General features: G+C 38.4%; 1 long non-coding RNA gene across 1 annotated transcript in view, besides 1 other annotated feature; it reads left to right on the top strand.

The window, feature by feature from the left end:
- Positions 1-27783, top strand: part of LINC02438 (long intergenic non-protein coding RNA 2438) — a 238399-nt gene that overhangs the window by 1863 nt on the left and 208753 nt on the right. The gene's annotated exons all lie outside the window — the stretch shown is intronic.
- Positions 24805-25681: an enhancer, noted in NCBI's record as "OCT4-NANOG hESC enhancer chr4:19431070-19431946 (GRCh37/hg19 assembly coordinates)". NCBI's record gives its function as "activates a minimal SCP1, AML or CMV promoter by ChIP-STARR-seq in naive and primed H9 embryonic stem cells {active_cell/tissue: H9 hESC(naive and primed)}" and the evidence as "EXISTENCE:reporter gene assay evidence [ECO:0000049][PMID:30033119]".

The following is a 27783-nucleotide window of genomic DNA, read 5'->3' as shown; positions in this document are numbered from 1 at the left end:
ATTCATTTGTTGTTCCAGCCTTTCTATTATTTATATTTTTTTCTTTTTAAAAATTATTATATACAAGCATGCATTGTTTAAGGTAGATATAAGCTTCATAATGGACTTAAGATGTGTTTTATAACAAGTGATATATATGAACATATGAACACATGAAAAATAAAGTATGTGATTATGGAGCACTTTACTATAAGACACACATACTTTTACGTCACACAATGGATACTCCATAATCACATACTCCCAGTAGGTAGGACTGTAGGTGTGAGCCACCATGCTGGGCTTTATATATATTTAATGCTTTCAAAAGCCCTGAGATCAATGTTATTATACAAATATATCAGATGAGGAAATCAATTCTTATAGATGTTAACCAGCTTGTCCAAGATGGTGGCCACCAAGCAGGTGGCAGAAATGGAGAAGACTCAAGGATTTGTGACTCCAAAAGTTCTCTCTTACCATGAGGATTCTTAATTGTCCAACTCTTTACTATATATGTGAAGCTGATTATGATTGAAGGTCAGTGGTGGTAATAACCTCATGTAACGACAACTAAGAGCAATCAGGTACCTTTGAATATGTTATATTTTTCTCTAGTCTATGCCAATTTGTGCCTCTAAATTAAAGCTCTTTAACGTCACATGTAACCCATCACAAAACCAAATATTCTTGGGTACCCCTAACATGTTTTCCCAAGTGCTTTGATCACAAAGTTTCAAAGCCATGCCAAGTTTTCCTCTGATTGCATGGCATGAAGCCCTTAGTAGCTTTTATTTTTGTCTTTTGCAAATAAACAAATTCCTGGAACAGGAAAGCAAATCAAAAATGAAAGCCCGTTTGTAAGAATGCCAAAACAACTTGTTGTTTATCCTTGTTCCTATCACTCTTTTAATTCTTCACAGATAGAAACAATGACATTGACTGGAAGTAATTTACGCAGAATATTAGATAGAAATAACAAGCAGATAGATGGCTTTGCAGAACAAATGTATAAATCTTCATAAGTCTAATGCTTGATTGATCTCAACCAAATTATTAGCTAGCATAAATTGAGTTTACAAATGTCAGGCATTTTACTGAGCATTATATACATTGTATACATTATTTGATCATGTTTACAGAAACAGTGCAAAGCAGTTACCATTGTTGTTAGCATTTTACAGATGAGGAAACAGAGTGGGACATAAATCATTTTCTGTCCAAAATAATGCAACTAGGAATTGGCGTTGTCAGAACTCAAGCACAGACAGTATGTCAGAATTTATATTATTATGACATCCAGCTCATCTGTACTCGAACTGAGACACTATCACTCTGTTCTCACACTGCTATAAAGATACTATCTGAGACTGGGTAATTTATAAAGGAAAGAGGTTTAATTGATTCACAGTTCCCCATGGCTGGGGAGGCCTCAGGAAACTTTCACTTATGGTAGAAAGTGAAGGGGAAGCAAGGCACATTTTACATGGTGTCAGGAGAGAGAGAGTGAGAAGGGGGAAGCACCAGATATTTATCAAACAACGAGATCTCATGAAAACTCACTATCATGAGAACATCATGGGGGAAATCTGCCCCCTTGATGCAATCACCTCCCACCAGCTGCCTCCTTTGACACACGGGGATTACAATTCGAGATGAGATTTGAGTGGGAACACAGAACCAAATTATGTCAAACATCTTATTGAGACACATATGTAACCCAGAGGACATATTATTGTCTCAGAAGGGAGTGAATTAAATAATGTGTTTAGTACCTCTACTTTTCCATTGTTTTTTTTCAAAATTTCGGTCTTAGAAAATTCAACGGTATTCTGTTTTTAATTAGCTTAGTACATCTATCATTTCCTTCATTTCATTTCCTTTCCAAGGCATATGATTAAATTTATCATTTCTACAACTGTTAATATAGATCTAGATTTCTTTAGATTCCTGATGTGTCAGTTAAAATTAAAAGTCTTCCTCATCCACTTTTCCAGTGATTAGTCCTGATATCTTGAACTATCATCCTCCTTTATGTGCTTTGCCATAAAAATTTATTCAGAAGTGAGTTAACAGTGGAAGACTGAAAACTTTTATTGGATGGTTTTGGAAACAATCTCTCTCTCTCTCTCTCTCCTCTCTCTTTTTCTCTACTGAGAACACTTACTCTCAGTTGATGCTGTTAACCATCTTACAAACACAAAGATAAAAATAAAAACAGTAATCAAGACAGTCTGGTATTGATAAAAGAAAAGATTAATAGATCAATGGAACAATACAGAGCCCAGAAATATGCCCACACACATACAGTTGACCACTGAACACCATGGGTTTGAATTGTATGGATCTGCTTATATATGAACTTTTTCTGCCTCTGCCACCCCTGAGAGAGCAAAACCAAACCCTCCTCTTCCTCCTCCATCTCAGCCATCTCAATGTGAAGAAGATGAGAATGAAAACCTTTATGATGATCCACTTTAACTTAATGAAAAATAAATATATTTTCTTTTTCTTACGATTTTCTTATAATTTACTTTTCTCTAGCCTACTTTATTGTAATATTGTAATATGAATGCATATAACATACAAAATATGTGTTAATCAACTGTTTATGTTGTCAGTCAGGCTTCTGTTCAACAGTAAGCCATTAGTAGTTAGGTTTTGAGGAGTCAAAAGTTACAAGTGGATTTTTCATTCCATGGAGGTTAGCAACTGTCATGAGAAGGACCCAGTGAGAGGTAATTGAAACATAAGGGCAGTTACCCTCATGTTATTCTCATGATAATGAGTTCTTTCGAGATCTGATGGTTTTATAAGGGATTTTTTCTTCTTTGACTGACACTTCTCTTTCCTGCTGCCCTGTGAAGAAGAACATGTTTACTTCCCCTTCCACCACGATTGTAAGTTTCTGGAGACCTCCCCAGCTATGCAGAACTGTGAGTCAATTAAACATCTTTCTTTTCTGTTTTTTTTTTTTTTTTTTTTTTTTTTTTTTGAGACAGAGTCTTGCTCTGTCACCCAGGATGCAGTGCAGTGGCACCATCTTGGCTCACTGCAAGCTCCACCTACTGGGTTTACACCATTTTCCCATCTCAGTCTCCTGAGTAGCTGGGACTACAGATACCCGCCACCAAGGCTGGCTAATTTTATTTTTGTATTTTTAGTAGAGACGGGGTTTCACCATGTTAGCCAGGATGCTCTCAATCTCCTGACCTCGTGATCCGCCCGCCTCAGCCTCCCAAAGTGCTCAGATTAGAGGCATGAGCCACTGTGCCAGGCCAACATCTTTTCTTTATAAATTACTCAGTCTTGGGTTTGCCTTATAGCAACATGAGAATAAACTGATGCAGTAAATTCATACCAGGAATGGGGTGCTGCTATAAAGATACCCGAAAATGTGCATGTGACTTTGGAACTGGGTAACAGGTTGAGGTCGGAACATTTTGGAAGGCTCAGAAGAAGATAAGAAAATGTGGGAAAATTTGGAACTTTCTAGAGACTTGGAGGGCTCAGAAGACAGGAAGATGTGGGAAACTTTGGAACTTCCTAGAGTCTTCTTGAGTAGCTTTGACGGAAATGATCAGAGTAATATGGACACTGAGGTCCAGGCTAAGGGGTCTCAGATGGAGATAAGGAACTTGTTGGGAACTGGAGTAAAGGTCACTCTTGCTATGCAAAGAGACTGGTGGCATTTTGCCACTACCCTAGAGATCTGTGGAACTTTGAACTTGGGAGAGATGATTTAAGGTATCTGGCAGAAGAAATGTCTACAGGGAAAGCCTTAGAGAAAGTAGACTATAAAAGTCTGGAAACTTTGAAACCTAATGATGTGTTGGAAAAGAAAACCCCATTTCGGAGAGAAATTGAAGCTGGCTACACAAATTTGCATAAGTAATGAGGAGCTGAATGTTAATCACCAAGACAATGGGGAAAATGTCTCTATGGCATGTCAGAGACTTTTGTAGCAGCCCCTTCCATCACAGGCCCAGAGGCCTAGGAGGGAAAAATTATTTCATGGGCCAAGCCCAGGGTCCCCCTGCTCTGTGCAGCCATGTGACATGGTGCCCTAAATCCCAGGTGCTTCGGCTCCAACGGTGGCTAAAAGGGACCAATTTACAGCTTAGGCCATTACTTCAGAGGTTGCAATCCCCAAGCATGGGCAGTGTGCACATGGTGTTGGGCCTGCAGGTACACGGAAGTCAATAATTGAGGTTTGGGATTTCAGGGGGTGTATGAAAATGCCTGAATGACTAGGCAGAAGTTTGCTGCAGCAGCAGGGCCCTCATGAAAAACCTCTGCTAGGGCAGAGTGGAAGGGAAATGTGGCGTTGGAGCCACCACACAGAGTCCCTAATAGGGCACAGCCTAGTGGAGCAGTGAGAAGAGGGCCACTGTCTTCCAGACCCCACAATGGTAGTAGATCCACCGACAGTTTGCATTATGCACCTGGAAAAGCCACAGACACTCAACATCGGCTCAAGAAAGCAGGCGGGAGGGGGGCTGTACCCTGCAAAGCCACAAGGGCAGAGATGCCCAAGGCCATGGGAGCCCACCTCTTGCATCAATGTGCCCTGGATGTGAGACATGGAGTCAAAGGAAATCATTTTGGCATGTTACGGCTTAATGACTGCCTTCTTGGATTTCAGACTTGCATGGCACCTGCAGGCCCTTTGTTGTGGCCAATTTCTCCCTTTTGGATCAGGTGTATTTACCCAATGCCTGTAACCCCACTGTATCTACGTATTTACTAACATGCTTTTGATTTTACATGCTCATAGGCAGAAGCGACTTGCTTGTCTCAGTTGCAACTTTGGATATGGAATTTTGTGTTGATGCTGGAATGAGTTAAGATTTTGGGAGACTGTTGAAAGGCCATGATTGTGTTTGAAATGGGAGGACATGAGATTTAGGTGGGACCAGGGATGGAATGATATGGTTTGGCCATGTCCCCACCCAAGTCTTACCTTGAATTTAGTTCCTATAATGCCCGTATGTCATGGGAGGGATCCAGTGGAAGGAATTGAATCATGGAGGCAATTGCCTTCATGTGTTCTCGTGATGGTGTGTTCTCATGAGATCTAACGGTTTTATAATGGTCTTTTCCCCCTTTGCTCAGCACTTCTCTCTCCTGCTTCCCTGTAAAGAAGTATGTGTTTTCTTCCCCTTTCATCCCTATTATAAGTTTCCTGAGACCTCCCCAGCCATATGGAATTGTGAGCCAATTAAACCTCTTTCCTTTATTACATGGTCTTGGATATGTTCTTAGAGCAGTGTGAGAATGGACTAATACAGTGACCCTAACCTCTGTGTTCTTCAAGGATCAATTGTGTAGTCAATTTGTCTTTTACAAAGTATCAAAGGAAATACAATGAAGCCAAGATTGTCTTTCCAAGAAGTGGTGCTAGCACCACTGGACATCCACAGGGGGAAGAAAAAGGATCCAAGCAGAGACCTTACATATTTCACAAAAAGTATCTTAAAATGAATCATAGTGTAATCCCAGCACTTTGGGAGGCTGGGGCGGGTGGATCACGAGGCCAGGAGATCGAGATCATCCTGGCTAACACGATGAAACCCCGTCTCTACCAAAAATACAAAAAATTAGCCGGGTGTGGTAGCAGGCGCCTGTAGTCCCAGCTACTCGGGAGGCTGAGGCAGGAGAATTGCTTGAACCCGGGAGGCGGAGGTTGCAGTGAGCGGAGATTGTGCCACTGCACTCCAGCCTGGCGACACAGTGAGACTCCGTTTCAAAAAAAAAAAAAAAAAAAAATATGCCAAAGACCTTAACAAACATCTCACCAAATAACGTAAACAAATGGCAAAGAACCACATGAATACATGCTCCACATCATATTTGATAAGGAAAATGCAAATTGAAATAACAGTGAAATACAAGTTGGAAGTGGGAGGTAAGGATGAATAGTTGGAGAAAAGGGGATTTTTAGGTCAGTGAAAATACTCTGAAAGAGAACTATAATAGTGAATAAATGTCATTATACATTTGTACAAATCCGTAGAATGTTCAACACTCAAGAGTTAATGCTAACTTAAATGATAGACTTTGGATGATTACGATGTATCACCTAAAATATATCATGTATATTATGATGTATCATATGTAAAATATCATATGTAGAACACCTTGTGGTGTGCCAGTTGCTAAACAAATAAATATCACATTTAATGGATGAAAAGCAATTCCATCTCCAGTAATCTCCTCCCAACTAAGTCCACCTGGCTCCAGACATGTCCTTTCTTGTGGCATGGATTTTGACACTAAAAAGTCATATTGGTTTATATTTTTCCTTTGATAGTATTTTCAAGGACTAAGCTTCTTTTGTCTCTAGTAAAATAGTATTCTTTTTGAGAGGAACTTGGCTTTCCCTGTACTGTAAGCTTTCATAGCACTCGAAGCAAAGTTCTTTATAGAGAAATAACTTGATAAATCACTGTTTCTTTACAAATAAATGTATAATGTGAGAATACTGCACACAAGAGTAAAGCAAGCTCTAAGAGACATTCAGAAAAATACCTTTTTTACCCAGTGTTATTAATTATTCTCGAGTTTACTAACTGTCATGCCCATGAAATCCTATTGTTAACTTGAGATTTCCTAGTCATTGTGAAATTATAGAGGAAAAAGAAGAAATATATTTTCAGCAATGACTGTGCACTGGGCACTGGTATATGCCATGATATATTTGACATGTTTTAACTCCCAGAACATTAATTCTTTATTTCTTCATTTACACAATCATTCAACAGATATTTATGAGCCAAAGACATTGTGCTAGACCCTGATAAACTGCTGTCTGTATGTTGCCATATTATTTAAATTAGCAAGTCATTATGTGATAATTATTGTATAATTATTGTTTCTATTTACATAAAGAAAGAAATTAAGTCATTTGCACCTTGTCATACAAACCATACATGGTAAACTATTTCTTTTTTGCACTGAAAAAGCAAACTCTCAAATTTATGCATTCATTTATTTATTATTGATACACAGTGTTCATACATATTTATGGAGCACATGTAATATTTTGTTACATACATAGTATGTGTAATGATCAAGTCAGGATATTTGGGGTTTCCATAACCTGGAGTATTTAACATTTCTATGTGTTGGAAACATTTTAAGTCTTTCTTCCAACTATATTGAAATAAACAATATATTGTTGTTAAATATAGTCAGCCTACTCTGTTATCACACATTAGAACTTATTCCTTCTATCTTTGTGATATGGTTTGGCTATGTCCCCACCCAAATCTCATCTTGAATTCCCACATAGCCAAACCCTCTTTATACTCCTTCACCTCACAGGCCCTTTGATATCTATCACTGTACTCCCTACTTCATCAATTCAACTTTTTTAGCTCCCACATATAAGTGAGAAAACATAATATTTGTCTTTCTGTGCCTGGTTTAGTTTGCTTAACATAATGATTTCCAGTTCCGTCCATGCTGCCCAAAAGACATGATGTCATTCCTTTTTAATGGCTGAACAGTATTCTATTGTGTATATATGCCAAGTTTTCTTTATTCATTCATCTGTTGATGGGCACTCGGATTGATTCCATGCCTTTGCTATTGTGAATAATGTTACAATAAATATGGCAGTGCAAGTATGCCTTTGATACATTAATTTCTCTGCCTTTGGATACATACCCAGTAGTGGGATTGCTGGATAGTATGGTAGTTCTATCTATGACTTTTTGAGAAATCACCATTATGTTTTCCATGGTGCTATACTAATTTACATTCCCTCCAAAAATGTATAATAGTTCCTTTTTCTCTACATCCTCACCAACATCTGTTGTTTTTTGTCTTCTTAATAATAATTATTCTAACTAGGATAAGATGATGTCTCATTGTGATTTTTACTTGCATTTCACTGATCATTAGTGATGTCGAGCATTTTTCTCATATACCTGTTGACCATTTGTATGTCTCCTTTGGAGAAATGTTTATTCATGCCCTGTGTCCCCTTTTTGATGAGAGTATTTGATTTTTTCCTGTTGAGTTCCTTGTATATTCCAGATATTAGTCCCCTGCTTAATGAATTGTTTGCAAATATTGTCTCTCATTCATCAGATTGTCTGTTCAATCTGTTGTTTCCATTGCTATGCAGAAACTTTTTAGTTTAATATAGTCTTGTAGTAATTATTGCCTCATAATATGAGTTTGGGAGTATTCCCTCCTCTTCTGTGTTTTGGAATAGTTTGAAGAGTATCAGCATTAGTTCTTCCTTGTAAGTGTAGCAGAATTCAGTGGTAAAGGCATTGGGTCCTGAACTTTTCGTTGTTGGGAGGTTTTTTCATTATTATTACAAATTCAATCTCATTACTCATTATTAGTATGCATCATTATATTGTTTATTTCAAATCTTTTTACTTTTTTGATGTAGGTGTTTATTACTATAAAGTTTCTTCTTAGTACTGATTTTGCTGCATCCTAACTTGGTATGAGTTTTAATTTTCATTTATTTCATGGATTTTTTTTTTTAATTTTCTTCTGAATTTATTTCTTGACCCAATGGTCATTCCGGAGCATGCTGTTTAATTTCTATGTAATTGTGCTTCCAAAGTTTCTCCTGTTATTGATTCTGGTTTTATTATCTTCTGGTCTGTGAATATAATTAACATGATATCAATTTTTAAAGCTTTGTTGAAACTTGTTTTTCACCTAATAAATGATCAGTCCTGGAGATTGGAGGGAATATTCTGTAAATGTCCTTTATGTTCATTTGGTCTAAAGTTTGGTTAAATCCAATGTTTATTTGTTAATTTTCTGTCTAGATGACCTGTCTAATTCTGGCAGTGGGGTTTTGAAGTCCCAAACTATCATGACATTGGAGTCATTGGAGTCTATCTCTCCCTTTAAATTTTTGTTTGTTTGTTTGTTTGTTTGACAGAGTGTTTCACTCTGTCAGTACCAGGCTGGTACTTGCTTTGTCCTCCTGCTGCAGCCTACTGAGTAGCTGGAACTGCAGGTCTGCACCACCATGCCCAGCTAATTTTTATGTATTTTGTAGAGACAGGGTTTCACCATGTTGCCCAGGCTGGTCTTGAACTCCTAGGCTAAAGGGATTTACCTGCTTCAGCCTCCCAAAGTGCTAGGATTACAGGTGTGAGCCCCGACACTCAACCCACTCTTTTTTTTTTTTTTTTGTTTGTTTGTTTGTTTCAGACAGAGTCTCCCTCTGTCACCAGGCTGGAGTACAGTGGCGTGATCTCGGCTCACTGCAACCTCCACCTCCCGGGTTCAAGCGATTCTCCTGCCTCAGCCTCCTGAGTAGCTGGGATTACAGGCGTGTGCCACCACACCCAGATAATTTTTGTATTTTTAGTAGAGACGGGGTTTCACCATGTTGGCCAGGATGGTCTCAACCTCCTGACCTCGTGTTCCATCCACCTCGGCCTCCCAAAGTGCTGGAATTACAGGTGTGAGCCACCACACCTGGCCTCAACCCACTCTTTTTAAATCTAATATTTGCATTATGTATATAGGCACTCTGGTGTTGGGTGTATATATATATATATATATATATATATAAAATTGAGAATTGTTATATACCCTTATTGGAATGATACCTGTTATTATGGAATGACTTTCTTTGTCTCTTTTTAGTGTTTTAGAAGTAAAGTCTGTTATATCTATTAGAAGTATAGCTGCTCCTGTGGATTTTTAGTTTCTCTTTTTATGGAATATCTTTTGCTATCCTTTAATTTTTAATGTATATGTGTATTTACAGGTGAGATGAGTTTCTTATAGCAGCATATAGTTGGGTTATTTTTAAATCCATTCAGCCAGTCTATATTATTTATGTGGAAAGTCTAATTTAGTTACATTCAAGGTTATTGTTGATATGTGAGGGCTTATTTGTGTCATTTTATTCATTTATTTACGGTTGTTTTGTTTATTTCTTTCCCTTATTGTTTATCATTGTGACATGGTGATTTTCTGTATTAGTAACATTTGAATCCTTTCTTTTCCTTATTGGTGTCTTTGGTCTACCAGTGTGTTTTGTACTTTTAAGTGTTTTCATAATGGTAGTTATCCTCCTTTTATTTCTGCTTATAGGACTAATGTAAGCATTTCTTGTTGAGCTGGTCTAGTGGTGGTGAATTCTCTCAGCTAACATTTGTATGAGAAGTACTTTATTTCTCCTTCATGTATGAAAGTTAGCTTTTCTGGATATAACATTCTTGGTTAGGAGGTTTTTTTGTTTTTCTTCCAGCACTTTTAGTATGTCATCTGATTTCCTGGCCTGTAAGGTTTCCACTGAAAAATCTACTGTAAGTCTGATATAAGTTCCCTTATAAGTGACTAGACATTTATCTCTTACTGTTTTAGAGTTCTTTTTTGTTTTGACTTTTGACAGCTTGACTGTAATGCACCATGGAGAAAACCTTTTTGTTTGTGCTTGTTTGGGGACCTTGAAGCTTCCATATCTAAATGTCTAAATCTCTTGCTAGACTTGGGTGTTTTTCAGCCATTATTTTGTTAAATAGGTTTTCTGTTCCTTTCATTTTCTCTTTGCCTTCTGGAACACCAATGCATCAACATTGGATCACTTTGTGGTGTCCGATATGTCATGTAGGCTCCATTTCTTCTTAGTCTTTTTAACTTTTGTCTGACTAGATAATCTTAAAAAAAACTTATCAAGTTCTAAAATTCTTTTTTCTGCATCATCGAGTCCATCGTTAAAGTTTTTGAATGTATTTTTTATTTCCCTCACTGAATTCTTCAATTTCATGATTTGCTTGATTCTTTTTGATAATGTCTAACTTTTTGGTAAGTTTATTATTCATATCCTGAATTATTTTTTCTGAACTGTTAGTATAGCTTTTCTGAGTCCTCTGGAAATTCAATGACATTTTTTAATGTCATTATTTTGAACTATTTTTCTGGAATTTCATAAACTTTTTTATTGGCATATTTTGTTAGAGAAGTATTGTGTTCCTTTAAAAGTATCATATTTCCTTGCTTTCTAATGTTTATTGTGTCCTTACATTGTCCTTATATCTGTACACCTGATGTAATAGTTGACTCTATCAATTTCTTGAATTTGCTTTTATACTGGGGGACTTTTTCCTAAAGACGTGTCCATGGTGTTTGTTGTGCATGGTACTTTGGCTTTGTTTCTTAGTATGTGCAGTAGGGTAGTCCTGTATGATTTATTTGGCTGGAAATAGCATCAGTTATGTCTGTGATTTCCTCAATGGCTTAGGGTACAGTTGTTAGTGGAGGCTGTATTAGTGAAGTTTTGCTGGGCACAGGGACATCAGGCAGGCCAGTCCTTGGGTTGCAATGGTGGCAGCAATAGACCAAATATGCCTGTAGTTAGGCCCTAGGACAACAAATGCTGGCACTGGTGTTAGTGAGTCCAGGCAGGCTTATTCTTGGACTTCCATGTGGCTTGCTCAGGTGCTGGCAGTGGCAGTGGTGATCTGGATCCCTAAGCCCCTAAAGCAGTAGGTGTGGATTGGCAATGACAATAGCAGTGGTGGGACAATCCTCTGGCTCCCGAGCAATCCATGTTGTTGTTGATGGTAGCTGCCCAGTACTCAGGCCCCTAGTTGGTGCATGCATGTGACTGACAGCTATTATGGTAGTGGCAGGCTCTGCAGGCCTGATCTCAGGCCCCAGGGAGGAATGTTCAGGTGTTAATGATGGTGAATGTGGTGAGGATATCTCCAGGCCCCTAGATGGTATCCTCCAGGGGGCAGGTTTGGGTGTTTGAAGCCTGGGTGGGTGGGCCTTTCCTACACAACAGTGTGTGTAGGAACTTACTGTGGTAGGTAAGTAAAGATGACGCCCAGGACTAAAACACAATGTGAGGATGGTGGTATCAGTGTCTACACTGTGGTCCTGCTTCCAGGAAGGGCAAAGTTGATCTTAGTGGCAGCAGTTATGTATAGGTGACTGGAGAGCATGTACTTTGGCCCGATGTGGTGGCTATAAGTGGGGTAGCCTTTTCTCAGAGCACTTTTAAATGTGCTTTGGCCCTGGAGGCAGTGGGTTTACTACCAATGTCTTGTACTTTGGCCATGGTGGCAACAGCCAGAGCAATGCCTTGCTGTGAGCAGAGGAAATCAATGAATCCCCAGAGATGGGGAGATGTAGTAGTGGTTGGGCCCTAGGACAGTCTGATAGGGGTTGGGCTCTCAAAATGGCACCTAGCTGTAGCTGCTTAGATCTCAAGATAAGGGTGGGACCCAGCATGAACTTCTTTCTGGAACAATGCAGTCACACCATGACCATGCAGTTCCCTATGTTAGTCTCAGAGCCCACATGGGTCAAGGGACTCTCTGGTGGCTAGGATTGTAGGAGTCTGTGGTGGGAATGTGGATAGCTGTGAGTCACTCACTTACCCCTGCCCCACATTGGGGACCCTTTCCAGGCTCCCAGCCAATCCTGGCCGAGCAGGCTGCCTCACTTCCCTCTCCTTCCTTGACTTAGACATTTCCTGTCACTTCTCTGTTGAATACCAATATTCTCTCTTAGATGATCTACCCGAACTGTAAGTATTTACTTGGTATTTTGGTTCTTCTTTGTGGCTCTCATCAGCCATTTTGAAGTCCCTTTATAAGTGGTAGACAGTTAGAACAGGGGTACTTGAAGGATACTATGGGGAACAAGATGTAATCTCTGCCCTTACATAAGATTTAGGTAAGTAGCACAAGTTACACTATCCAAAATATACTCAATGGATATTTGTTGAATGTAAGTGATTATAAACCCAGGCATATTTTCTTTTACTTTTCATGTCTTTTTCATTATGCATGGCTGCATTCAAGTAATCCACCGTTCAGTCATTATTCTGAAAATATTTGTGTTTTTGGGGGGCATAGTCAGGTTCTAGTCTACTAATATATTCATTTAAATTAAAAACTCATTTTAATGTCTCTTGATTTGATAATAAAATAAAAGCCTATTAATTTTAATTTAATTTTATTTTACTGTTTTAATTTGCAAAGTACTTCATAATTTCAACTTACATCTTTCCTGTAAGATGAAATTAATAACCCAAGTCAAATGGAAATAAAACCAGATATAAGCCATATACATTTAATTAGATTAGAGTAAACAAATGAACTAGAGGGCTGTCCTGTCCCACCAGATTACCAACAATTTTGATTCAAAATAAGGGTAATTAGCTATCCAAAATATTTTTGAGAAAATAAACAGAAAAAGAGCTAAGAATTATTAAAGTGGGCCAGCAAACAACAATATCAGTATGGATAAGATTCCAGTCCAATGAATGATATGGAATAGTTTGTTTTTTCCATACCTCAACCTCAAAAATTTCTTATGATTCCACTACACACTAATCTACTTTAATAGTTTTTCTAGATCTGGCACCTATTAATTTAGTCATACTTCACATAAAGGTAGTTAAATTAGTGATTATCACCCTGTTGTCCATTGGATAATTTAGGAGATTTGCAATGCCCCAAAAGTCATATATACACGTTTTTAGATATATGCGTATACACTGTTATGAAGATATCTTCTGTGGCTTTCTTTCTATTTTCAAGTGAATCCATGATCAAATCTAGTTAAGGAACACTGATTTACTTAGTTTATTCTTGCCTTCATCAAGCTTCAATATTTGCCCATGAGTTCTTATTGTATGTTAAATCTGCAGACTGTAACCAGATGCCCTGCATTTTAAATTCCTGCTGTAATGTAATGCCCTTATGTTACAGTGGACATGTGACTTAAGTATGTTAATTAGGTATAATAATAATACCTATGCTATAAGAGTATTGAAAATATTAAGTGACTTAATGAAAGTACAATGCCTACATTAGTACCTGTAACAATGTACAATATAAGAATAAGAGTTGGCTGGGTGTGGTGGCTCATGCTTGTAATCCTGACACTTTGGGAGGCTGAGGTGGGTGGATCTCTTGAGATCAGGAGTTCAAAACCAGCCTGGCAAACATGGCGAAACCCTGTCTCTACCAAAAATACAAAAAAAAAAAAATTAGCCAGGTGTGGTGGCAGAGGCCTGTAATCCCAGCTCCTTGGGAGGCTGAGGCAGTATAATTACTCGATTCTGGGAGGTGGAGGTTGCAGTGAGCTGAGCTGAGATTGTGCCACTGCACTCCAGCCTGGGCAGCAGAGTGAGACTCATTCTAAAAAACAAACAAACAAAAAAAAAAAACAGTTATGCAAGGACTATGAAAACGTAAGACAATATTGTATAAGAGTAACTATTATGTCATTCTTACTCTAAAAGCCCATGATGCCACCATGCATTGAAGTGCTATATCCACATGATGCTCTCCAGAGCACTTGCACTTGGAATTGCTATAGATATTTAATAAAAACTGTTAAAAGAACAAATAAGCTTGAAAAATACTGCATATTTTTCTTCCTGAAGATTCATAATACATACTAGTATATTATGGCCTGTGAAGATTTCTTAAATAAATATGTTTAACATTTTTTAATCATATATTTTCCACCACAGAAACCTTTTGTGGAGTAAAGACCTATTATTTGCTTGTGGAGTTCCTAATTTAAGTAACATAATCCTACTCGATGGTAGTCACTTCACTGCAGATAATGAGATGGTCCCAAAGTCTAGCTTATTCTTCAATTAGTATCATATAAAGATGAACTTAACCACAGTATTTGATACAGTAATTTCCAAGGTTGATTGGGTCAACTACAGAGCTCTTTATTCTTGGAACGCTGGGAAAAACAGAACAGCCTCTCTCACACACGTAAAATGCACACACATACAGATTTCATGGGAAATTGTCTGGACTTGGAGTTCTGATCATAAATCATGTTAGGAAAGAACAGAGTTAAAGCTAACTGGCTAGCAATCTTAACATTTTTATAGTTTACTGTAGCTACTTGAGCTACAGAATCAGCCAGATATTAGATACTTACCAGAACCAGCATCAAAATATGTGGTTTAAATGGACGATGTAATGCGTTTGTCAATTCTATCTTTGGGATATTTATATTCATTTTATATTTTTTCATCAAAAGTAAGTGATTCTTAGAGATGCATAGATTAATACAAGGCATATTATTCAAGATTTCTAAAAAACACACCACGTTAGTTTCGTACAGCTTCCATAACAAATTAGCACAACTCGGTGGATTAAAATGACAGAAATTATTATATTACGGTTATAAAGGCTAGAAATTAAAATTCAAGGTATCAGCAGGGCCATGCTGCTTCTAAAGGATCTGGGGAAAATAATGCCAGTTTCTGCTCCACCTAAATAGATTTTTCTGAATAACTCTGTCTTCTTTCTCCTCCTATACGGAAAGTGGTCATTGGATTTAGAGCCCAATCTAAATTAAGTATGATTTTTATCCCCAAATCCTTAACTAAATACATCTGTCACGACCCAATTTCAACATAAGGTCACACTCTGAAGCTAAAGTGGTCATTAAGTGAACAGGGAGCAGTATTTAGCCAACTACAATATCTCCTAACAAATATACCATTAATTTTTAGTATTTGGAGAGGCTATTTGGGTAATTAGGATTCTTATATAGTTAACGTTATACAGTTAGTCTTTTGTCCAGTTAACATGGACATTGGTAAAATTTTTAAAAAGTGGAAATGTAATCTGATCTTTGCATTACACTATGAAAGAATGCAGAACACATCTAGGCACATGAGCTCAAGAACTTCAGGGACATATAGTTTCAGATAATTTGATAAAGCCTAAAATATGGTATATATATAACAACACAATTCATGTGCAATAAAAGGAAAGAGATTGTTTTGATAACAGCTTGAAACTTGCAGAGATCATACACTTTTATTTATTTTTTCTTTTTGAGACGGAGTGTTGCTCTGTGGTCCAGGCTGGAGTGCAGTGGCACTATCTTGGCTCACTGCAAGCTCCGCCTCCCAGGCTCATGCCATTCTCCTGCCTCAGCCTCCGGAGTAGCTGGGACTATAGGTGCCCACCACCATGCCTGGCTCATTTTTTTTTTTTTTTTGTATTCTTAGTAGAGACGGGGTTTCACCGTGTTAGCCAGGATGGTCTCGATCTCCTGACCTCGTGATCTGCCCACTCTGGCCTCCCAAAGTGCTGGGATTACAGGCGTGAGCCACCGTGCCCTGCCATAAACTTTCAACACATCAGGAAATGGAACAATGAGCTAGAAGAAAAAGAAGAAGTACAGTGATTGAGATTGCATTTGAAAACTTGGAAGTTTAGCAACCTAGCCTCCCTGCCATGCTTTAACTCAAATGCTCAATACATGCTCACTTCTCTAAATCAATTTAAACATGGGAAAGAAAATGTGTTACATTGTTATAGATCCAAGAATTTCATAGCTAGTCATGACATACGTGAAGCTGGGAAACATCAAGAACATTAATATAATCTGCACATTCCCCATGGAAATCCAGAAAACAGACAGTCTTCAAAACTCTGTAACTTATTCCTAGCCAGGAATACTACACTTTATTTTATGTTAGAATCAAAATGCTTTTTATTTTAAAAGTTATCTTATAAACAATATAAACCAACTTCTATTTTGAAAACATGTTCTGTGTCCACAAATAATGTGGCATTAACCAAAATTTGAAGATGCTTTAAAAGGAGCTTATTTCAAACACATCAGAGTATATTGAGCTTAAAGTATTAAACAGAGGCCAAATAGTAGGCAAAAAAGGTTGAGTCATCCTACAGAAAATGTTTAGAGTCATTGTTTACATATGAAATCCCTTAGTATTTGTATTAGTCCATTCTTACACTGCTATAAAGAAATTCCCTGGACTGGGTCATTTATAAAGGAAAGAGGTTTAACTTACTCACACTTCTGCATGGCTGAGGAGGCTTCAGGAAACTTATGATCAAGGTGGAAGGGGAAGCAGGCGACTTCTTCACAAGGTGGCAGGAGAGACAGCATGTGCAAGAGAGAGCAGAGAAAACTGCCTTCTAAAACCATCAGATCTTGTGAGAAACCACCCTCATGATCCAATAACCTCCCACCAGGTCTCTCCTTCAACACCTGGGGATTACAATTCAAAATGAGATTTGAGTGGAGACACAAAGCCTAACCATATCATACCGTCCTTGCCCCCTCCCAAATCTCATGTCCTCACATTTCAAAAGCAATCATGCTTTCCCAACAGTCCCTCAAAGTTGTACCTCATTTCAGCATTATGTTCAAGTCCAAAGTTTTACCTAAGACAAAGAAAATTCCTCCTGCATAGGAGCCTGTAAAATCAAGAGCAAGTTAGTTACTTCCAAGATACAATAGGTGTACATGCATTGGATAAATGTTCTCATTTCAAATGGGAACAATTGGCCAAAACAAGGGGGCTACAGGTCCCAAGCATGTCCAAAATCCAGTGGGGCTGTCATTAAATCTTTAAAGCTCCAAAATAATATTTTTTGACTCCATATCTCACATCCAGGGCACGCTGATGCAAGAGGTGGGCTCCCATGGCCTTGGGCAGCTCCTTCACAGGCTTTGCAGGGTACAGCCCCCAGCCCTAGCTGCATTCACGTCTGACATTGAGTATCTGCAGCTGTTCCAGGCACACTGTGCAAGCTATCAGGGGATCTACCATTCTGGGGTCTAGAGGATGGTGGCCCTCTTCTCACAGCTCCATTAGGCAGTGCCCCAGTGGGGACTCTGTGTGGGGGCTCCAAACCCACATTTTCCTTCCACATTGCCCTAGCAGAGGGTCTCCATGAGGACTCCACCCCTGAAGCACACCTTGGCCTGGACATCCAGGCATTTCCATACGTCCTCTGACATCTAGGTGGAGGTTCCCAAACTTCAGTTCTTATCTTCAGCACACCCTCTGGCCCAACACCATGTGGAAGCTGCCAAGCCTTGGGGCTTGCATCCTGTGAAGCAAAAGCCCAAGCTATACCTTGGCCCCTTTTAGTTATTGCTGGAGTCACTGGGATGCAGGGCACCAAATCCCAAGGCTGCACACAGCAGGGGGTCATGGACCCGAGCTAGGAAACCATTTTTTCCTCCTAGGCCTCCTGGCCTGTGATGAGAGGGGCTGCCACAAAGGTCTCTGACATGACCTAGAGACATTTTCCCCATTGTCTTGGTCATTAACATTTGGCTCCTGGTTTCTTCTGCAAATTTCTGAAGCTGGCTTGAATTTCTCACCAGAAAATTGGTTTTGCTCTTCTATCACAACACCAGGCTGCAATTTTTTTAAACTTTTATCTTCTGCTTCCTTTTTAAACATAAGTTCCAATTTCAAATCATTTCTCTCACATTCAAAGTTCCAGAGATCACTAGAACAGGAGCAAAATGCCACCAGTCTTTGCCAAAGCATAGTAAGAATCACCTTTATTCCAGTGGCCACCAAGTTCCTCATCTCCATCTGAGACTATCTCAGTCTGGGCATCATTGGCCATATCATTATCAGCATTTTGGTCAAAACCATTCAACAAGTCTCCAGGAAATTCTAAACTTTTCCACATCATCCTGTCTTTTTCTGAGCCCTCCAAACTCTTCCAACCTCTGCTTGTTACCCAGTTCTAAAGTTGCTTCCACATTTTTAGGTATCGTTATAGAAGTACCTCACTCTCCGCAGTATCAATTTACTGTATTAGTTCATTCTCACACTGCTATAAATAAATACCCAAGACTGGGTAATTTGTAAAAGAAAAAGGTTTAATTGACTGACAGTTCTGCATGGCTGGGGAGGCCTTGGGAAACTTACAATAAAGGGAGAAGTCAAGCAGGCATATTCTTCACAAGTCAGCAGGAGAGAGAGTGTGTGCAAGAGAAAGCAGGGAAAACTGCCTTATAAAATCATCAGCTTTCATGAGATCTCACTCACTGTCAAGAGAACAGCACACAGGAAACCACCCCCATGATCCAATCATGTCCCACCAGGTCTCTCCCTCAGTACCTGGGGATTTCAATTCAAGATGAGATTTGATTGGAGACATGAAACCTAACCATATCAGTATCCATGCTCAGAGTGCCAGATACACTAAACTGGTACATATTATTTTGTTTTATATTAGTCAACATAGTAGCTTCTATTTGCTATTATGTTGAAGTAAGCAGAACTAGATACTCCTCTCTCATTGTAAAGCACAAGAAAACTGAACAAGTTATATTAAAACCTATTCAATAACAGAGGGAAATAAATAAATTTAGTTTTCTTTTTTTTCTGAAGGCACTTTTGATACTTCTGTTAATGGAAGGAGAAAACATACACGTAGTGAAAAGAAGTTTCACTGAGCTGAGGAAAGAGTGTTCAGTGCAGCCAATATCATTGGAATTTGTTGGACTAAGTACTGGAGATGAAGATGCTATTCAGACAAAAAGTTGTAGAAATCTTACATGGCTTTTGAGTCTCTGGCTTAATACTAAATTGCACATTCATAGAGAAACTCCACAAGCCTGGGCAAAGCAAAACCAAACAAAACCAAACACCTACCAAGGAATTTGTATTAGTCTGCTCTCACACTGCTGATAATGACATACCTGAGACTGGGAAATTTACAAAAGAAAGAGGTTTAATGGACTTAGAATTCCACATGGCCAGGGAGGCCTCACAATCATGGTGGAAGGCAAGGAGGAGCAAGCTACATCTTAACATGTATGGCAGCAGGCAGAGAGGGCTTGTTCAGGGAAACTCCCGCTTTGAAATCATCAGATCTTGTGAGACTCATTCACTATCGCAAGCACAGGAAAGACCTGCCCCCACAATTAAATCACCTCCCTCCGATAAGTTTCCTCCTATGACACATGGGAATTGTGGGAGTTACAATTCAAGATGAGATTTGATATCAGAATTATTAGCTGAAAGATTTGTAGAATATACCAGGCTGGAATTCATTTGAATTCTAACTAACCATAAAAGAGAGAAGTCAGGGAGCACTCAGGGAATTCAGTAAAGATCCCAGAACATCGCTCCTAGTGGTAAGTCTAAGTAGCACTAGAGTAAAATCTATGTTAGAAGCATCTTAACAGAGTTTAAAGAATCAAACTTTCTAAAAAGCAAGCTGATTTGAAAGTATCCTAAGTATCAAAAACAACTTTCAATATGCTTTAAAGGAACAGCATAAAACTCGTATTCAAAAACAAAAAAAGCACATTCCCCAGCATTCAATCAACAAGCACTATAACAGAAAAGAATCAAGAATGTGTGAATCATAAGTAGGAGAAGAATCAACTGTAGAAAGAGAACTAGAAATGACAAAGTAAATGAAAATATAAAGCAAAGTGCTTTACACAGTTATAAATATACTTAATGATTCAATGGAAAATATATAGCAAAATGAGAATTCAGAGATATAAAATATAGTAAATATAACTTCTAGAGCTGAAAATAAAATACCTAATTTTTTTGAATAACTCATAAATGGGATTAAAACCAAATAAAACACTACTGAGAAGATTAGTAAACATGCAGAGAAATAATTAGAAATTTTTTAGACAGAGAGAGAATGAGAGAGAAAAAAATGGAGGATAGTGAATGGAATCTAGTGACTGTGGAAAAACATTGATCAGTTCAATGTACATGAAACTCAAGTTCCAGGGTAAAATGAGGGGTGAGGGAAGCATGAAATAATTGTTTAAAAAATAAGGGCAGGGCCAGGCGCATTGGCTCACATGTATAATCCCAGCACTTTGAGAGGCCAAGGCAGGTGGATCATCTGAGGTCAAGAGTTTGAGAACAGCCTGACCAATATGATGAAATGCTGTCTCTACTAAAATACAAAAAATTAGCTGGGCATGGTGGTGCGTGCCTGTAGTCCCAGCTACTTGGGAGGCTGAGGCAGGAGAATCACTTGAAACTGGGAGGCGGAGGTTGCAGTGAGCCAACATCGTGCCACTGCACTCCAGCCTGGAGACAGAGCAAGACTCCATCTAAAATAAAATAAAATAAAATAAAATAAAATAAAATAAAATGAAATATAAAATATAAAATAAAATAAAAGCTGAATGTATTTCCAAATTTGAAGAAAACTGAAAACCGAAAACTCAGAGATCCAAGAAGCTCAGTAAATTTCAAGCAGGATAAACACAATAACACTACATTAGGGCATAGTGTAATCAAATTGCTGAAAACCAGTGATAAAGAAAAAAATCTTAAAAGTAGCCAGTTATGAGAGGCATTACATAGGACAATATCTATAAAAATTATGGTTATCACTGGAATAAATAGAAACCAGAGGCTTATTTAATGAACTTAAAAGAATGCATATCAACCTATATTTTTATATCCAAGAAAAATGTAATTCATAAGTGAATATGAAACCTTTTCAGAAAAGAAACATCAAGGGATACTATCACTAGCTGACCTCTACAGGAAATGTGAAAGAAAATTATTCAGGCTGAGAGAAAATGCTGCATAATGGAAACTCAGATCTTCACAAATAAAAGATCACCAAGATATTAAATGTGCTGGTACATATTAAATATTTTCTTTTGAATTTTAATACCATTAAAATTGATTGTGTAAAGCAAAGATCATGTTGATGAATTGAGCAGTTTAAAAGATAAGCAAAAGTAAAATGTATAAAAACATGAGTATAAAGGTTAAAACAGGGAAGTCAATGTATACTGTTAAGGTTTACATTATATATGAAGGGGTATAATATGATTTGACAGTAGATTTTGATAGTTTAAAAATGCATATTGTAAAGTGCGTGTGTGTGTGTGTGTGTGTGTGTGTGCGCTAAACAACCGAAAGTAAATTGGAAAATTTGTACCCCTTTACTCTTACATGTTTAACCTAATACCCAATATCATGTTATTTGGAATTGAGGTTTTCAAGAGGGAATTAGGTCATGAGGGTGGAGGCTTCATAAATGGGACTAGTGTTCTTATGAGAGTAACTGTAGGGAGCTCATTTGATCCTTCTGCCATATGAGAACACAGTAAGAAGTCATCATCTCGCCAGGCACACTGGCTCACGCTTATAATCCTAGCACTTTGGGAGGCCAAGCTGGTGGATCATGAGGTCAGGAGTTTGAGACCAGCATGGCCAACACAGTGAAATCTTGTCGCTACTAAAAATACAAAAATTAGCTGGGCATGGTGTTGGGCACCTGTTATCCCAGCTATTCAGGAGGCTGAGGTAGGAGAATCACTTGAACCTGGGAGGCAGCAGTCGCAGGGAGCCAAGATTGTGCCACTGCACTCCAGCCTAGGTGACAGAGGTAGACTCTGTCTCAAAAAAAAAAAAAAAAAAAAGAAGGCATCATCTATGAATCATAAAGTGGACCTTCATCAGACACCAAACCTACTAGTGACTTCATCTTGAACTTCTCAGGTTTCAAAACTTTGGGAAACAAAATGTATGTTGCTTATAAGACATGCAGTCCATGATATTTTGCTATAGCAGCCTAAATGAACCAAGACACTCTCTTTCATAAAAACAGTTCATTTATTAAAATCAGGAAGTCAACAGTGAAACTACAGGTCATACTTAGACATCCTGTACCTGGGAGATGCATGTCGCTATTATTATTTTTTAACAAATTGTTATGTTAGAGTAATTAAGAATAGAAAATTAAAATTTGCATGTTACATCCACTCATTTCTTCTCCAATACCCTTCTTTCTGTAGACCCAAGTTTCTGACCTATATCATATTTGTTCTAATGAACTTCTTTTTACTTTCTTGCAAGTCATGTCTACTGGGACCAAATTCCTGTAGCGTTTTTTGTCTTAGTCTTTATATGTTCTTTACTGTTGAAGGACAATTTTGCAGGGTAGAGAATTCTAGGATAGTGGATTTTGTCTCTCAACATTTTTAATATTTTACTCCATTCTCTTCTTCATTGCATGATTTCTAAGACATGTGAGATGTATTTTTTATCTTTTCTCTTCTATATGCAAGACATTTCTCACTGTCCACTTTCTTGCTTTTTTTAGCATTAAAAAAAATTGACCTTATGTAGTTTGAATATGATTAGCTTAGGTGTTCTTATGTTTATTTATTTATTTCTACACTTATCTTGCTTTGTGTTCTCTGAGCTTCCTGGATCTGTAGTTAGCTGTCTGATATTAATTGGTGGAAATTCTCAGTTATTAATGTTTTAAATATTGCTTCTGTTCCTCGCTCTCTTTCCTCTCCTTCTGGTATTTCATTATAAGTACATTTCACTTTTGGTAGTTGTTCCACAGTTTTGTTCTTCTCTGTTCTATCAGTCTATTTTTTCTCTTTGCTCTTCGGTTTTGGCAGTTTCAATTGAGTTATACCCAATGTCAGAGACTCTTTCCTCACATGTGTACAGTCAACTATAAAAGGCATTTATTTCTTTTAATGTTCTTGATCTTCAGAATTTATTGCTTCTTTCATAGAATTTTTATTTCTCTGTGTACATTGTCCATCTCTTTTTGCATACTGTCTAGTTTACCCTGTAGAGCCCTTTGAGAAGTGATCACAATTGTTTTAAATTCACAGTTTGATGGTTCCAACATCCCTGCCCTATCTGAGTCTGGTTTTGATTTTTGTTCTATCTCTTATAACTTGTGACTTTTGCATTTTGGTATGCCTGCATTTTTTGTCTTCATGGCTAGACATGATGTACTGATTAAAAGGTACTGTCATAAATAGGCCTTTAGTAATGTGATGATAATTTCTGAGAAGAGGACAAGCAATCTAAAGTCCCATGATAAAGTCTTAGTCTTTAAGTCTGCCTGTTCCTCTGGATGTGAACTTTAAACACGTTTCTCCGTCCCTTCACCACCATAGGTGAGATAGGATGGCTAAAATGGGTTGGAGTTGGATTTCCACATGGAGAATTTCCATTTCTCCATGTGGAAGTCTAGAGATGATTGAAATGGGATATTATCCTTCCCACAGGACATTAGGCTCCGATAAAACTCCAGCAGGTTAAGCTCTGGTTTCTGGTTAAGTAGTTTCTACTGAGGGCATGTTTTGTAAGAAGAACAGAATTCTTTGGCTTATGTCAAAATGGTTCCTTTCTTTTTCTCCTCTTGTCTAAAACACAAAAGGAGCATTTTCTCTGAAATTCACTGTGAGACCCTAGAAGAGTTCTAGGAGGTAAAACTCAGAAAAGTTTGGGAGGGGGTCTCCTGATGACTTAGTCCCCTCCAGTTTCTATCTCTTGAGCCTGTCCCACGGTGAGACTTCAGCAGTGGTTCCCACAGAGGTTTGTACTCATGGATTTCTATGCTAATAGGTTGTTGATTCTCTGTATTTGCCTATCTGTCTAGTTTTGAGGCAGCAGTTTGCCCTGTGACCTCACTTCTCAGACAGATCTAAGAATAATGTCTGAGTTTACAGTCTGTTCAGATTTTTACTTGTTAAGATGGAGGGGTTATTTCCAAGCTTCTGACATAGTGAACCAATAGCTAGAAATCCTTTCTTTATTTTTTAAAAAGGATTTTGCTGGATATAGAATTCTTGCTTGATAGTGTTTTTTCATTCAATACTATTAGTATGTCATTCGGTTGCCTCTTGGCTTCAATGGTTTCTAAGGAAAACTCAGCTGTTTTTTATTATTGAGGACATTTCTATTTGATAGATTTCTCTTCTTTTGTTGCTTTCAGGAGTCTTTGTCTTTTGACAATTTAACTATGATACATTTATGTGTGCATGTTTTCAGTTTATTTGATTTTCATTTACTGGGTTTCTGGAGTGCAGGTTAATGTTTACAATAAATTACAAAGTTTTCAGCCATTGTTTCTTCAAATATACTTTGTTTCTGTTTTTCTATATTCTCTTTTTTTGGGAATTCCACTGTGCATATATTGGTATTCATGATTGAGTCTCTCAGGTCTCATGAAACCCTGTTCATTTTTCTTTATTCTTTTTTCTTTCTATTCCTCACACCAGCTAATCTGAATTAAACTATCTTCAAGGTCACTAATTCTTTCTTCAGCCAATTCAAACCTGCTGTTAAGGCCAAAGAGTATATTTTTATTGTTTAGTTGTATATTGGCTTCAGAATTTGTAACTTATTCTTTTTGAAGATAAGTTCTATCTCCTCAATGATGTTCTCTATTCAGTGAGAAATCACTCTCATTTTCCCTTTGCATTTTAAAATACGGTGCAAGGGTGTATCCTGCAGACCCCAGCTGCATGACAGATGAATAACGTACTCAGACATCAATATTCAGTGAAAGAGCAGGCTGGGGACCAGGTCGCTGACTGAAAGAATTGTAGCAGCTGAGGCCCTGATTAGCTGGCCCTGCCCTGCCGGCATTTATTCAGCACACATTAAAGGACAAAGGCTTTGAGTCAACACAACTAGAGGGTAATTAACCTGGTTGCCCTCCCTCCGAGAGAGCCATCCTGCCCCTGAAAGATCAAAGGTTAGTTTTAGGACCACATGAGTAAGCAAGTTATTTAGATAAACTCCCTTACATTCCTTTGTACTACTTTAAGCTGTTTACTTAAGGTAAGAGGATTAGGCTACCTTCAGCCAGATCTATTACTGAAGTTATGCAACCCCCAACCCCAGGGCCTTCCAAGAGGTTTGTATCTTTTTCTTATAACTGTCTTTAAAATTTTTCCCACCAGCCTGCCTGAACTCGCACAATATGGTTTTCTTTAATTTTTAACATGTTTAGTGTAGCTGATTTAAAGTTTTTGTCTGTTGAACTCAATATTTGGACTCCATCAGGGAAAGTTCTATTGATAGCATTTCCTCCTGTGACTGGGCCATACTTTCTTCTTTCTTTGCATCTTTTGATAGGGACAGGGGGCAGAGAAATTCTAGGCAGAAAAGAGCAAGTCCCTGAGAAAACCTCACCCTCAAGTCAAAAAGCCTGAAACCATGGTGCAAAATGAAAACTTTTATTCCTGTTTTTTCCACCTGAATTTTGTCTTTTCCTAAATTACCCATGGCCTGCCCCACCCCCCCATCCTGTGCCATATAAAGACCTCAGACTCAGCTGGCAGAGATGAGAGGGCAGCTGGACTTCAGGGACTAGGGCTGGATGTTGGAGAGAAGTGGCTTCATGTCATAGGGACAGCTTGATGGTATAACTTCAAAGAAGAATCCGACTGGAGATGTCTGGATTTCAGGGGAAGATTACCTACCTGCTCCATCCCCTTTTCAGCTCCCTTTCCCACTGAGAGCCATTTTCTTCATCAATGAAATCCCCCACATTTACCATTCTTCAATCCATTCGGGCAACCTCATTTTTCCTGGATGTCAGACAACAGCTCAGGAGCCATGGATGTGGATACAAAATGCTGTCACACTGGCCCTTTGCCCTCACTGGTGGAGGGTAGCCACCACATATGAAAAGGCATAGGGCTTACTGAGCTATTAACACTTAAGCTGTCAGCAGATGGCAGAGCTAAAAGAGCACTGTAACATGCCCTCTGGGACTTCAGGGTTTACAGGCCCTGCCCCCAGATGCTGCCGCAGGGCCCGCATGGAGTTTGGTCCTCCTGGCACCCAAAAGGGCTTGCCCCATCTCCTGCACTCACTCACCTACACACTCCCTCCCACAAGGGGTGGAACACAGTGGGGCTGAGTGGAATTTGCTGCAGCCTGAACTGAAGCCGCTGGGTGGTTCTACCACTCATGCACTCCAGTTCCCACTTCATTTACTCACACACTCCCTCCCACAAGAAGTTGAGAGCAGTGGGCTGAGTAAATGAGGCACACCTGTCACAAGTCCTGTGAAAGGGTCAGGGAAATACCCTGCTTCATCTAATTGACATTTTAAATAATGTAACATAACAACTCTGAAAAGGAGCCCCCTGGATTTATTGTATGTAGTTTTTGAGATTGTCATTTGATTAGTGACTTTCCTGGACCAATTCTGTAAAGTCTGTAGTCCTTGTCACTATACATATACTTTGGTAGACAGTCAATAAAATCTCTGCTTGATTGGCTAAAAATTGAAAAGAGATTTACCTGACTATCTTGAATTAATGTCTGCCAGAGTTTGCCAGTAGGTCTTGTGTGTGTCATATGGCATGTTTTCAAAGCTCCAGCAGGAAATTTATAACTCTGCCTTAGCCTTCACTTCTTGGTGGTACAGAGCTTCAAGATCAACCATAAGTAAGATATTAGCTCTCTTTAGATATTTCCTGTGTGTTCCCACAACCATATACTTGCTTTTATATTCCCAAAAATACCTGAGAGTTTTTGAAAGTCCCATTTGGACACTACATTCCTCAGTTTCTCCTTTCAGGTTTTTACATCTGCCTCCTGTTAACCCAAACTGGTATTGCTGCCTTAAGCAGCTGTGATGTTAAAAATTCCCATGGACAATTTTCAACGGATGCCATAAGAGTAATGATATTCAGACAGAGTGAGCTCTGATTCAGATAAAAACAAGTCCTGAAGCTAGAGCCTTTCAGAGAGCTTCCCAAGAGGTCAAATTGTGACAGTTCTCTCAGGCTGAGGTTTTTGGGGAGCGCCATTCCCTTTCTTCTTCCTTTGACATCTGTTAGGCCATTGGTTTCTATCGGTACTCCATTTGCATGGTCTTTGGTTTTCTGGGCTACTGCAGACCTGGGGAAAGCAGGGTGGATTTGGGCAAGTTAAAATGATGCAAATCTTGCTGTTGTAACTGAGACTTACCATTTTTCCTTGAATAAATGTTCTTTAGTTTATTTCAAGCTTCTTCTTAATTTTTGGATTTCTGAAAATGGTAATTTTGATATCTTTGCAAGTTTTCTTATTGCTTTTTTAAAACTTGGATTTCAAAAGTCTTTATTCTGTCATTCCAGAGTACGTCTTGTCCATCTAACCTAGCATCCCATTCACAGAGAAAAAATTCACCTGCCTCTCAGATACTACTGAAATTAATCTCACAATGTGTGAAAGGCAGAAGGAAGTAGGAATGACTATAATTTATTAAATTGTTATAA

The sequence above is a fragment of the Homo sapiens genome, chromosome 4 (assembly GCF_000001405.40).
Source record: "Homo sapiens chromosome 4, GRCh38.p14 Primary Assembly".
Taxonomy (NCBI): domain Eukaryota; kingdom Metazoa; phylum Chordata; class Mammalia; order Primates; family Hominidae; genus Homo; species Homo sapiens.
This window is presented reverse-complemented; position numbering and strand designations above follow the sequence as displayed.